The sequence below is a fragment of the Homo sapiens genome, chromosome 6 (assembly GCF_000001405.40).
Source record: "Homo sapiens chromosome 6, GRCh38.p14 Primary Assembly".
NCBI classification, from domain to species: Eukaryota; Metazoa; Chordata; class Mammalia; order Primates; family Hominidae; genus Homo; species Homo sapiens.
The window spans coordinates 12,016,686-12,031,154 of NC_000006.12; the positions used below are offsets into that span (position 1 = coordinate 12,016,686).

Consider the following 14,469-nt stretch of genomic DNA (forward strand, 5'->3'; position numbering starts at 1 on the left):
ATTGTAGTAACCAGTGTTCAATGAGGTGGAGATTTACATGAGAACAAGTGTGGTGTGTGGAAATCTGATTTTTTATAGTCATATAGAAAACGTTGAAAATTGAATGTGTTTGCCCGTCCCCCTCACTAGAATCTGAACTCCCTAGAGACTCACTCTCATTTGTTACTGTAGGAAAAGCCTCCAGACCCAAGGGTACCAGCTGAGGTGGGCATTTGGAGACATGGGCCCTGCTTTATCTGTCCAGGGAGGGCACCCTGTTCTAGTTTGCACAAGTGCAGCATACAGATGAGCAGCAGCCCTAGCCCAGCACAGTTCCTGGCAGCTAATGGCAGCCCAAATATTTGTTGAAGGAACGAGTGCATGATTGATCTGAAGGTGTTATTTATTAGGCCATAAGTATTAAACATTTTTCATATTTAAAATATATGTTCATAACATTCTAGATAAAATGACTATCCTGAGAAACACAGATTTACAGGCCATAGGCTCTTTTCCTTTCTGTATCAAATAAATGTTCAACTCAGCACATGTTTGTTACTGTGTCTGGAATTGGTGGGTTCTTGGTCTCACTGACTTCAAGAATGAAGCCACAGGCCCTCGCCGTGAGTGTTATAGCTCTTAAAGGTAGCGTGTCCACAGGTTGTTCCTTCTGATGTTCAGATGTGTTTGGAGTTTCTTTCTTCTGGTAGGTTCGTGGTCTCGCTGGTTCAGGAGTGAAGCTGCACACCTTTGCGGTGAGTTTTATAGCTCATAAAGGCAGTACAGACTCAAAGAGCAAGCAGTAGCAAGATTTATTGCAAAGAGCACAACAACAAAGCTTCCACAGTCTGCAAGGGGACCCAAGCAGTTGCAACTGCTGCCTCCGGCAGCCTGCTTTTATTCTCCCGTCTGGCCCCACCCACATCCTGCTGATTGGTCCGTTTTACAGAGAGCCGATTGGTCTGTTTTACAGAGAGCTGATTGGTCCATTTTGACAGGGTGCTGATTGGTGTGTTTACAATCCCTGAGCTAGACACAAAAGTTCTCCAGGTCCCCACTAGATTAGCTAGATACAGAGTGCTGATTGGTGTATTTAAAAACCTTGAGCTAGATAAAGAGTGCTGATTGGTGTATTCACAATCCCTTAGCTAGACATAAAGTTTCTCCAGGTCCCCACTAGACTCAGGAGCCCAGCTGGCTTCACCCAGTGGATCCCGCACTGGGGCCACAGGTGGAGCTGCCTGCGCCTTGTGCCTGCACTACTCAGCCCTTGGGTGGTCGATGGGACTGGGCGCCTAGGAACAGGGGGCAGCGCTCATCGGGGAGGCTGGGGCCGTGCAGGAGCCCATGGCGTGGGGGGTGCTTAGGCATGGCGGGCTGCAGGTCCTGAGCCCTGCCCCACGGGGAAGCAGCTAAAGCCCGGCGAGAAATCGAGCGCAGCACCAGTGGGCCGGCACTGCTGGGGGACCTGGCGCACCCTTCGCGGCTGCTGGCTTGGGTGCTAAGCCCCTCACTGCCCGGGGCCTGCCAAGCCCACGCCAACTGGGAACTCTAGCTGGCCTACAAGCGCCACGCGCGGCCCCCGTTCCTGCCCGCGCTTCTTCCTCCACACCTCCCTGCAAGCTGAGGGAGCCGGCTCTGGCCTGGGCCATCCCAGGAAGGGGATCCCACAGTGCAGCGGCGGGCTGAAGGGCTCCTCAAGCGCGGCCAGAGTGGGCACCAAGGCGGAGGAGGCGCCGAGAGCGAGTGAGGGCTGACAGCACGGTGTCACCTCTCATTACTACCTTCATGTACTTCATGTTCTTATGATAGGGATAAAATGATAAAACACAGGTCTCGAAAGAAGAATGGAGTTGAAGAGCTGATAGGTAAACATGTAACTATGTACTATGGTGAGAAATGAATAGTATGGAGATTCCACAGAGATAGGGAGTCATTATTTTGTCCCCATTGTAGGGGGCGCAGTTTGGGGTGAAGCAGAATGATGATTTAGGGAAGGAAAGTTAACACCTGGATTTGGTTCTTAAGGCTGGGAAGTTATCTGCGAAGCTGACAAGGCAAAGTGAGTGCATTTCATCCTGGGGTAGCAGGTTGTGAAATAACTTGGGGACTCTGAGCAACTTTAAATGGTTCTCTACTTCTAGAGCATAAGAAGTTCTCTTCAGGAGGGATGAGAAGGAGACAGAGAGGCAGGATACTGGAGCAGGAGAATCAGGAGGAATCAGATCAGGAAAGGCCCTCAGATTTAAGCCTACATTTCATATGTAGAGTTAAAAGTTTTAATAAGAAAACTTGCTTCTTTAAGATATTTTTAAAGTTTTCAAAGAGAACTTGGAATAAATTGTGTCTGACTTGTCTGTGAGCGTTTAGGAAGTTGTTTGACTAAGGTAGTTAAGAACTCACAGCCACTAAAGAAAAGATTGGAATAGATTAGCTCTAGTAAGCACACTAAAGCCACCTCAGTGGGACTTCTGATGGGGAAGGGGAAGACTTCAGGGAAGCGGCGGCTTCTGAGCCAGTGTAGCTCACTCAGCAGCGGGGGACGGGAGTGAAGCTCTAGGTCCCCATGGGAAACCCTGAGTAAGCAAAGGGACAGAGGGGTTGGTGCTCGGCGGTGACACCTAGAAACTTCCGCGCTCCTCACAATGTCTGTAAGGACTCGAGCCCTGGGAAGGATGTGGGGGTTAGAGTAAGCAGGTAACCATCAGCTCCTGAGATTAATTTTTGAGCGTATCTTTAATATCTCATTGTGACAGTTTGGAATATCAGGTTTGTTGTGCCCTACCTGTGATCCACTGCTTTGCTTTACTAGAAGACATCTCTAATGCGATGAGATAAGAAATGCGGGGAGAGGAAATTGGGAGACCAGAAGAGGAGTCACAGCCCAGTTTGCCCCTACTGTTTCTGCCGTCAGCTCAGGAGCTTTCAGGAAACCCATCGCCTCTTTTTAGGCTTCCTGGGGGAAATAGTCTGAAATGTTTGTCTTGTGCTTGGTAATCAAGTCCGTATTAAAAGGCAGATACCTGATACTTTCTCAAATTATATTTTTCTTATGCTTCCATGGTAGTTTCACCTCTTAGAATGTAATCTTTCTTTGATTTATTCTTGGTTCTCCTGCTGGGACAGATATATCCCTACGGATGTGCAAAGCCACAGGGTAACATGTATCTTTCAGGAATGTGAATTTTACTTGGGGAAAAATACGTATACTTGTCTGTGTGTGCACACGTATACACATATTAAAGTATTAGGCAAGCATAAAAATGTGCAATACCGGAATCTATCATGGAAGAGTATAGAAAGTTTGCATGGATTTGAAAATTAAGCCTGCATAGACTGCTTTTATAAGGAGATGGAGTATCTACTTCTTTGCTCTTAGAGGTTGTTTACTAGAAAAGGTATAAGAAGAATTGTTAGGTTAAGGGCAGGAAACAAATTGGGGACATAAGTGAGACAGTGTCCGACTTGATGGGTGATCTGTATACTGTGTAGGACTGTGGTTTTGTTGAATTCAGTCTCTTCACCCTTGGCCCAGCGTTAAACCAGATAGAATCAGTTCTCCATGCCTGTTTCCCATCTGCAGGAAACGTGGTGGGTGCCGTTTTGACACCGACCTATCCTTTGTGAGGTTGAAGAATTTTGGAAGAGCATGAGAGCAGCACTTGGTGTTCAGAAGAAAGGCTTAGCATGTTGTCCTGGGTTCCGTGGAGAAGGGTCACTGGACTGCACGGGGTGGCTCTTCCGCATGGTCTTGGTGAGTTGACAGCAGGGCAGCGCTGTGTCTCCCAGCCATCATTCCTTACTCATCGCTGCTCTGTGGAGGGGTTATCTCCACCACCTTCTCAGGCCTTCGCTTGGACCCTTGAGTAACATGGAATGGAGGAGTTGGTGACTTGCAGGGGGTTCCATGCCTCTTCCGTTGTGATAAAGGGCTCTATTCGTGTTTTGCCACTCATTCTTGTGAATGTGTTTCAAAGCTTTGAAAAAAAGGAAAAGAGGTGTTACTTACTTTAGTTGTATTTGGGCCTAGGGTTTCAGAGCTTCATTTCCTTTAAGATTGGAAGTCAGTGTGGAAAATACTAAGTATTAACCTTTTGCAAAACATGTTTTGAAAATTTGGTGTAGCTGTTTTTCATTTTTATTGGTTGAGTTCATTTGGCTCCGAACACTCTGCAAAAAATGAGAACTCTTTTCCTGTCTGAGAACCAGATTTCTTTCTTTCTTTCTTTTTTTTTTTTTTTTTTGAGACGGAGTCTCACTCTGTCACCCAGGCTGGAGTGCAGCGGTGTGATCTTGGCTCACTGCAAGCTCCACCTCCCAGGTTCAAGCCATTCTCCTGCCTCAGCCTCCCAAGTAGCTGGGACTATAGGCGCCTGCCACCACGCACAGCTAATTTTTTTGTATTTTTAGTAGAGACAGGTTTTCACCACGTTGGCCAGGCTGGTCTCAAAACTTCTAACCTCAGGTGATCCAACCGCCTCAAAGTGCTGGGATTACAGGCGTGAGCCACCGCACCCGGCCCAGACTCCTTAAAATGTGAGAAGTAGCACTGAGGAATGTGATCAGATCATGGCCTTGATTGACACATGGGGTCGCTTTCCACGGTTGGCCTTCTTGTTCTCCACGGCATCTTGTGCATAGCCATTTGCCATTTCAGGAGCTCAGCATGCACATCCGGTATTTCTGTGCTTGGTTGTCTTTCTGGAAGTTACTTCTTCTCCTTTTCCATTTCTACTGTTTTCTTACTCTGTATGGGAGATGTCTCTGCTAAAGATTTCACCTCTGAGTTTTTTCCCCCATTTTCTGTTCTCTTGTCAGATATCCTCCTCCCCTCCACAGACATGCCCTGGGTCTCCTTTGCTTGTGTCCACATGTGCCTTCTTGTACTTACAATATTACATCATGATCATTCTTCTCCAGGTCTCTTATCTTAGCGGGATTATAATATGTTAGAAGAGACCATTTTGGTCATCTGTGTGCAACAGAAGAATATTTGGTTGTGTTAACTTTTTGTTTTTGAGACGGAGTTTCACTCTTGTTGTCCAGGCTGGAGTGCAGTAGTGCTGTCTTGGCTCACTGCAACCTCCGCCTCTAGGGTTCAAGCAATTCTCCTGCCTCAGCCTCCGGAGTAGCTGGGATTACAGGCCTGTGCTACCACCCCCGGCTAATTTTGTATTTTTAGTAGAGACTGGGTTTCACCATGTTGGCCAGGCTGGTCTTGAACTCCTAACCTCAAGTGATCCACCCGCCTTGGTCTCCCAAAGTGCTGGGATTACAGGCATGAGCCACTTCACCTGGCCTGGTTGTGTCAACTTTTTAGCAAACTAGAGGGTTGAGATGATTTATACTCAGGGAATTTGTTTACATTTTTGAACCTCGAGTAGGAAATGCTTCTTCCAATATTTGGTAGCTTCTGATTAAAAACTTGTGATAATTTTAATTGCCTGAACAGATAAACCAGGTGGTTATTGTTAACTTTTGTTTTATATGAAATTTTACTTCACATACAGGATTTTTTTTTTTTGAGACGGAGTTTCACTCTGTCACCCAGGCTGGAGTGCAGTGGCACGATCTTGGCTCACTGCAACCTCCACTCTCCAGGTTCAAATGATTTTCCTTCCTCAGCCTCCTGAGTAGCTGGGACTACAGGCTCCTGCCACCGCACCCAGCTAATTTTTTGTATTTTTAGTAGAGATGGGATTTCACCATTTTGGCCAGGCTGGTCTTGAACTCCTGACCTCGTGATCCACCCGCCTCGGCCTCCCAAAGTGCTGGGATTACAGGCATGAGCCACCGTGCCTGGCCCATATACAGGATTTTTATAGCTTATCCATTTGGTACATTTAATTACTATAAAGACAAAGAGTTTGGCCTCATGCAGTCACTGACTTGCTATGTGGTTGGTTTCCTTGTGTGTAAAATGGAGATGATGTGTGAAGATGAGATGATATGGCAAATGTAAGCATTTGCCACAGTGCCTGACACAGGGTACACGCTCAATCCAGAGAGCTACTACTTTCTGTAAAAAACTGGTTTATGTCAGACTCCTTGGTTCCATATGCTTTATAAACACAGGAAACAGGAATATCTACATAAAATCTGTAAATGCATTTTAGGCTTCTCATGTGCTCAATGTTGATTACTGACATGTCCCATTCTTGTTCTGACTATTCAAAGGTTGGGATCTGGGGGAGAGAGGTCAGTGCAGAAAATAATTTGGGAATATTCTTACCAATGTGCTGCTCCCTCCATTTTTCCACTTAAATTCATTTAAGCCTTGCCTCGTTTTTTGACAGTGTTAGATGAGGTTAAACAGAATATTTGTCTTCACTTAGTTCTCAAGAAACAGATTCTGAGGGCTTCTGTTTTATTGTTGAACTCTTTTAAAAAATGTCGGTGTCACAGATCACGCGGGATTGAAGTGAAGTGCTCTCCTTAGGTTCCAAGATGGCAGCCATCTCTCTGTCCCCTCCTCCGCTTCTGTGTGACACAAGAGAAGCCCAGCCGGGGTTTCAGAATTAATCTGATTAAGATGAATGTTTTCATTTGCTATCAATTGTGGGCCTACTCCAGTGGTTATTTTACAAAGTCTACTACCAGGAATAAAATCTTACGTTTACTTGTTATGTAGGGATTATCTTGTTGAGCTGATAAGTGGAGTAGGTTTAATTTTGATGATTTTCAGATGGAATTCCAGCTGTTTAAGCATCGTTTTTCACATTTGAATGTTAGGTCAGCAGTTCCATGCTGACAGCCTTAAGATTTGAGAAATCAAAAATCTTGTAGTGGAAACAACCCCATGGCTTATTTCAAAAACAAAAACAAAAGAAATTCTCTATATTGTAGCTAGAAAGGAAATAAGTAATAATTTAAAAAATAGTTTTTGTTAATATGGGTGAAAAAGTTACTAGGAGCGATCATGTAGATAGCTGACAGTGCTTAGTTTGAGGAGGATAAAAATATGAAAATGGAGTTAACATAGCAAGCCTCCTTTTTTTTTGCAGATAATTATTTTTCGGCTCATGTTGAGAGCTTATTTGATGCTTTCTGAATGCTTATTAACGTTAGCCAAATGCTTCTTTTTAAAAGCAAATACAAAATGTAGTAATATGATTAACCAGAGTAATGATTTTATTTTAGAACATTTTTGTACAAAATATGTTCTGATGAGGTACAATCTTATCTTACCATAGAACGGAAAAATACATAATTTGTGTAAAATCTCCTATCATAGAAAAACATTTTTAAGCTTCACATTTAAAATGGTGATAATTTGAGCAAGTCTGGGCTAAAGTTGATTCTTGTATTATGCAGAAAAATATTTTATGAATAAATTAAGTGCTTTACTTTTTCATGTACATATTTAACTCTTTAAAAACATTTTTGCAGTACTCTTCTGCATATTAATACTATGCTCATTACAGGTGATGCTGTTATACTGTTAACCATTGTTCACTATAGCACAAAAACTTATAACCAAAGAGAGACCTTTCTTCTCAGTGCTCAAGTCATTCTTTGAGAAAGAAGCTCTTTTTGATCATGAGGCTTTAGGCTTACATTTGGTATACAGTTGCATTGATTTTGATTTTTTTTTTTTTTTTTTTACAATTTTAATGAGAAGTTGTCAAAAGGTTTTTAGAAATTTTCTATGATGAATTTTGTTCTAGAAAATATTCTAAGGCTGTGCTGTGATGCAAACATATTGAAAAAATAGAAAGTGATAACAAAACGGTTGGCTGCTGTGTAATGAGATAGCAGTCCCTAAGCATGAATTGGAACCATACGATTTAAGAGTTACACCTACTTAATACAAAGCTTGATTTTTATGGTCCTTATGTGTTTCTGTCCACAGAATTTCTGTGTGCCTGTGTGACTAGAGTATGAATTTAACCAAGCATACTTGTTATTTTGTACTTTGAAGTGTGCTTACATAGGTTTATCTTCAAATTCTTTCAGATTTGCCAGTGAAGAAAAAGATAGGGTGAGCATACAACTGCTTAATATAGTATCCAGATGGAAATAGGTTAAATATACAATTAGGGTGGTATTTGATAGTTTAAAGATAAAGAGAAAAATAAACTGGGCTGATACACAGGGACTTGGAAGGTGGTTGGTTAAGCCACGCCAGGAGTGAACCAAGGCTCTCCCTTGTGTTGCTGGGTTCTTGTGCGCCTCTCTGAGAGAATTACACATTTTACAGCAGGAAGGATGGACCTTGGAGGTCATTTAGTTCAGCCTCCTCATTCTGCAGATGGGAAGGCCCAGTGGCAAGAGGGAGGTGGTTTTATATAGGTCTTACGATGATAAAAAGGGCGAACCTTTCCACAGGTCTCTACTAGGCTCTGTTCAGAGGGCTTTTCATGTTTTCTCATTTGATTCCTACAGCTACCTGAGACAGGTACTTTTATGATTCCCATTTTATAGATGTGGAAATGAGGCACAGAAAGATTGCTATTTGCCCAGGGTCACATAGCTAGGAGTCTGCAGTGCTTTTGCTTCTAACCATCATGCTTATACTTGCTGATGTTGATAGTAGAAAGTTCTTTCCTGATTAGTAAGAGTTTAGAAATGCTCTCCATCCCAGTTAACTTGCTAAGCATAGCACACAGAGCTGAGGTTATTCAGGAGGTCAGAATTTGAAGGATTTTTTTTTTCTTAAGCCTTTAATTGTTTAGAATCTATTTCAAGTTGTATATGTATATATTATTCCAAGTTAGATTTGCTATCACAAACAGTCTAGGGAATTTCCAAGCTCTTTAAGAGGGAAAGAATAGTTGTCTCATCCAAGACGTTTGCTTACATGATTTGCTTAATTTTATAGTTGGAAGTAGAGATGTTTTACTTAAAATGGAGAATGGCAGTGTTTAAGTGGGAATCTCCGCCTAACAGTTGAAATTTCGGACCTGAAGGCTTAGAAAATATTTCTGGGGAAACTAACGTGAAAACATTAAAATTCTAAGCAAAATAAAGTAGATAACATTCTATAATTTGTCTTCATGTGGTAGGTACAGTAGGATATGGAAAAAGCATGCTATTTTAGACGTATGGGCACTCTTCTTCCACACTGCAGGTAAAGGGCAAATAACCATCGTTGGCCAAGCTCGATGGCTCACGCCTGTAATCCCAGCACTTTGGGAGGCCGAAGCAGGTGGATCACCTGAGGTCAGGAGTTCAAGACCAGCCTGGCCAACATGGCGAAACCCTGTCCCTACTAAAAATAAAAAAATTAGCTGGGCTTGGTGGCAGGTCCCTCTAATCCCAGCCACTTGGGAGGCTAAGGCAGGAGAATCGCTTGAGCCTGGGAAGCAGAGTTTGCAGTGAGCTAAGACCACACCATTGCATTCCAGCCTGGGCAACAAGAGTGAAACCCCATATCAAAAAAAAAAAAAAGAACAATTTTTAAGGGATCATAGAGAATTCTGTTTGTCTTCCGGGAGCAGTGAAAATGCTAGTAGGCTATGCCTAGACAAAAAATCTTGTACCTGCCCTCTTAGAGTTTTTAATACATTGTGTCTCCAAACACAGGAAAATAAAAGATCTAAGAGCAACATAAAGGAACAAATATAATTTCAGGCTAGTATGTGCAGTATGGAATTCCCCAAGGGAAAGTGGAGCAAAAAATAATTGGAGTGGAGTAAAGCAATGAGGAAATACCTCGCGGAGGAGTCAACTTTCTTCTTAACTAAAACCTGAATGAGGAGGAGTTTTGAGACGGGTTTTTAAAGACAGGAAGGATATATTGGCAGAGAAAGTAAGTTGTTTTTAGACTTTGGTAGAAGAATGAATGGGGGAAAAATTACGCAGAAGTGATTGTTGGTTTAGATTGCTTGGTTAGAGTGGATTTCCCAGTGAACTTGAAACTCTAAGGAAGAAAAGAGGAAAGGAAACTTATTAGATTTAATGTGTTTGGTTTCTGTTTATGGTAATTATAAAATTACCAGGTCAAGGTCTTTTATACTGCCAGGTGGGTCATAAGGTCATAAGTATTTAAAGAAGATCGTTCGGTGGCTAGGCAGTATCTTTTATGTTAACATTAAAAAACAACCTTCACCCAAGGTCAGTATGATTTGTTGACACCCAGGAAACTGGTAACAGTTTAAAAGAATGAGGCAGCCATTTTTTATTGTTTTTCCTATTTCAGAAGATCATCATGTGTATGAATAAACCAGCAAAAGAGTAATATGGCTTTGAGCAAATATCTTTAGTTTCTTCTTAGAGAACAAGGTGGTTAGGGGTTGGTAGGGGTGATGTTGATCTGCAATTTACTTTTTAGTTGTAAATGGCTGTTATTCTAGGGATCAGTAAATCCTGACTAAATCCAATCCTCCACCTGTTTTTGTAAATAAAGTTTTATAGAAACATAGCCATGCCCATTTATTTACATACTGACCATGGCTTCTTTCATGCAACAGTGGCAGAGTTGAGTGGCTGTTTGTGGTCACGAAGCCTAAAATATTTACTATTTAATGCTTTACAGAAAAGTTTGCCAAATCCTGCCTGGGAAATAGAGAGTTAACACATTTATTTGTAAACCCTTTTCTGTTTGGGAATAAATGAGAATGCTTTATCTTTCTGTGGAGGATTGCTGTAGGAATGAATTATTATTAGGGGAACCTAGGTACTGCTTTAGTTAGTATGTGAGGGTCCGCTGCCTGCCAAGCATAAGGGAATTCACATTTGGTTGGGAAGAAGTCCACTTACTTGTGGTTTTAAAATGAAGGGAAAGCCTTAGAGGTCAAGTTAGTCTTGCCAGAAATATTTAGTTCTTGATTTTCTGATACCAAGGTCATGGGTCTCAACCCAAAAGGATTAGATTGTTAGGGAGCCACCTGTTGAGTCAGGTAGCGTACTCTCCTTTTTTAAATTGTACTGTCTCCATCTAGTCACCTTTGTATTTAACTCAACTTGGTAGAAAACTACTGCAGGCAATCCATTTCCAATGCTGTACATGAAACGTCTTGTGAAGGACTGTTATTCAGCAAAATAGAGCTGTCTTTGAGAGGTGCGCCTTCTGACAAATGAGCCCTACAAGGAAGGTCTTCCCCTGTGAGTGGAGTGCCAGGTCTTGAGAATGGGACCAGGTCATCTGAGTGATTGATAATTGCTGCTAGCACATTAAGCATTATAATTTGTCCTTAGGTTGTGGGAAACATGTTTAAACATCCAATATGTTTGAATTCTCAGTAGTCCCTACAACACTTTCTGTAATATCCTAATAATTCTTTTTTTCTGGTGGTTTTGGGGTAGTGGGATGAGAGTAAGTAAATGATATTTTCGTGTTATGGTTTTGTTTTAATTTATTTTGCTTAAGTTTAAATTTAAGGATAGGCTCAGTTGAGCTCATGATAACTGTTGAGTTGTTTGGGGAATACTTTGGAAAGCATGTTAATTCTCCACAGATGAATTGGATCGTTAACCTCTTTATTTTGGTCCATGCTGGTGTTAGCACGTGGCTCAAAATAGTATGAGAATCGGTAACTGTTAACATGTTTCCTTTCCCAGCGACAGGAAGAGCCCATAGTGGTCATGAAGTATGGTGGAATCAGAGGGCCACTTTGGTGGCTGTCACTTATAAGCCCGTCTGGACTTCTGTGGCCCGGCTCTGAGGTGTTGGACATGTTGTGGAGTTCACCACCTCTGTCCCTGTCTTCCAGGAAATTTATAGTTGAAGACATAAAGGCCATAATGGCTTCACGTGAAAGTCTAGACAGCTGTATGAATATTTGATGAGTGAGCATATAAGGAAATACTCAGTTAACATATGTAAGGAGATGTATGACTGCATAGCCAAGGGGTTAAATGCTTTATTTATCCTTCTGTATGTTGACAGTTTAGGTTGATCTATCATGTTTTGATGGAATTAATGCCATACGTGTGATGAGTTATATATTCAGCATTCATGTTAATATCTTCTTGGAAGAGCTAGGGTTTGCAATAAGTTGTATTTGATGGATATGCTCCTTCATGGAAAGATTACCTTTTTCAGTCTCCAGTTTACTGCCTTAGTTATACTACTGTATACTGTATTTGTTTTACAGCTTTATTAAGACATAATTTACATGCAATAAAATTCACCCGTTTTAAGTGTATGATTCAGTGTGTTTAGTAAATTTATAGAGTTGGGAAACCTTTACCACAGTCCAGTTTTAGAACATGTCTGTCACCCCCAAAATTTCCTTGAGCTTATTTGCAACCAATCCTTGCTCCCACTGTCAGCTGCAGGCAATTGCTGGTCTGTTTTCTGGCTCTTTACATTTGCCTATTCTGGACATTTAATAAGTAGAATCATACAGTATATAGTTTTTACATGTAGCTTTTTTTCATTGTTTGAGATTAATCTGTGTCGTAGCATGTATCAGGATCTTCCTTACCTTTTATCGCTACATAATATTCTCTTATATAAATGCACTGATTGTATTGATTCATTCACTCGTTTGATGGACATTTGTATTGTTTTCAGTGTTTGGCTTGTGTGAATAATGTTGCTGTAAGCAATCCCATACAAATCTGTGGTTACATAGAGTGTTCTAGAAGTCTCAGGTCAAGCTGGCCATTAACACCTATTTTACTTGATATTACTATAGAGACTAGGGTTATTGTTTGCATGGCATGTGTGTTCCTGTTCTTTCACGTTGAACTTTTTGTTTCTTTGAACCTCTGCCACTGTTGCAGGTGTGTCTTTTGTGGACAGCGTGTTGCCGCGATTGCTTTTTCATCCAGTCCGACAATCTGCCTTTTGGGTGGGTGTTTATTCCATCACATTGATGTAATTTATTATTATTACTGAATTTATATCTGTGATTTTGCCTTTTCTGTTTGCTTCATACTTTTGTTCCTCTGTACTTCCTTAATTGCCTTCTTTTGTGTTAAATTTTTTAGTGTATGATTTTGATTTCTCTTTCTTTTTTGTTTTTACTATACTTTTGATTAATTTTCTTAGTGGTTGCCCTAGAGATTATAATATGCATCTTAAAGTATCACTGCCTACTTGAGAGTAATACTAACTGAACTCTGGTAAAATATAGAAACTTTTCTCCAGTATCTCCTTTTCTTTCTCCTTTTATGCTATTATTGTGATATATGCTTAATCCCTTTATATTATAAAGCAGGTTACACAGTGTTAAATCACTCCTTTACACAATCTTTTTTAAAAATAATTTAAGAGAAGAAATGAGAAACATACTAATAGGTCTTACATATACCTACATATTTATTGTTTCTAGCACTCTCCTCTTCTTCTATGGATTCAGGTTATCATCCTGTACCACTTTTATTCAACCTGAAATATTTCATGTAGCATTTCTTGAAAGTCAGGTCTTCTAGCAGCAACGTTGCTTTTTTAATATTTATGGAATGTCTTTATTTTTCCTTCCGTTTTGAAGCATAATTTTCTGGATATAGAATTCTTGGTTGATAGGGTTTTGTTGTTTTTCTTTCTGAACTCTGAACATCCACTATTCTCTGGCCTCTGTTACTTCTGAGAAGTCAGCTGTTTATTGTGTTGTGTTTGTTTTCTTTGCAAGATGAATTGTTTCTTTCATGGTTCTTTCCATTTGTTTCTCATCTTTCTCCAATTTGAATGTGATGTGCTTAGTTGTGGATTTCTTTGTGTTTATCTTATTTGGAATTTTATTGAACTTCTTGGATATGTAGATCAGTATTTTTGTTTTATCAAATTTGGGGAGTTTTTGGCCATTATTTCTTCATATATTTTTTCTGTACCTTTCTTTTCTCTAATCACACATTTATTTTTATGTTTGTTGTTCCACAGGTCTCTGAGGGTCTGTTAATATCTCTTTAATTTTTTTCTGTTCCTCAGATTGGATACTTTTCATTGAGCTATCTTCAAATATATGGATTGTTTCTCGTACCAGTTCAGATTTGCGGTTGAGTCCCTCTAGTAAATTTTTCATTTCACTTACTTTACTTTTCAACTCTAGAATTTCTATTTGCTTCTCTGTCTCTTTTTAAAATAATTTCTATCACTTTATTGAGATTCTATTTGTTGTTATAATCATACTTTAATTCTTTAAATATGGTTCCCTTCAGTTCTTTGAACATATAATAGCTACTATGAAATCTCATCCTATTAAATCCAGCATTTGGGGATACTAGAGATACTTTCTATTGACTCAATTTTTCCCCTGAGTATGGGTCACACTTTCTTATTTCTCTTCATGTCTCCAATTTTTTGTTGAATATTTTACATTTAAGATAATAGATTGTAGCAACTGTGGATTCTGATCCTTGCTCCCTTGTGAGTTATTTTTTGGTTTAGTAGCTTTTCTGGACTAAATATGTGAAGGCTATTTCTCTCATGTTGTGTGGCTGCTGATGGCTCTGCCCAGGTTTGCTTTCGTTTGTTTGTTTTTTTTGTTTTCTTATGTTTTACTTTAAATCCTAGCTTCCTAGAGGGTTACCCTGTGTAGTTTTGTTTTAAAGCCAAAGGTAGATCAGAGCTTAATTGTGAGTCAGTCTGAACCTTGACTC

The 14,469-nt window shown here is 40.5% G+C and overlaps 1 protein-coding gene across 16 annotated transcripts in view; it reads left to right on the forward strand.

The window, feature by feature from the left end:
* HIVEP1 (HIVEP zinc finger 1) overlaps positions 1 to 14,469 on the forward strand; it is a 204,356-nt gene that overhangs the window by 8,993 nt on the left and 180,894 nt on the right. For 4 of the 16 annotated variants that reach the window (XR_007059258.1, XM_047418701.1, XM_011514548.3 and 1 more), the window contains one exon: positions 3,563 to 3,733. The exons of the other annotated variants lie outside the window; for them this stretch is intronic. Coding sequence is in view for 3 of the 4 variants with exons in the window: in XM_047418701.1 (XP_047274657.1) it covers positions 3,667 to 3,733 (67 nt within the window). In the remaining variant the exon portion in view is untranslated. The remainder of the gene's footprint in view (positions 1 to 3,562; positions 3,734 to 14,469) is intronic. 16 annotated transcript variants of the gene reach the window in all.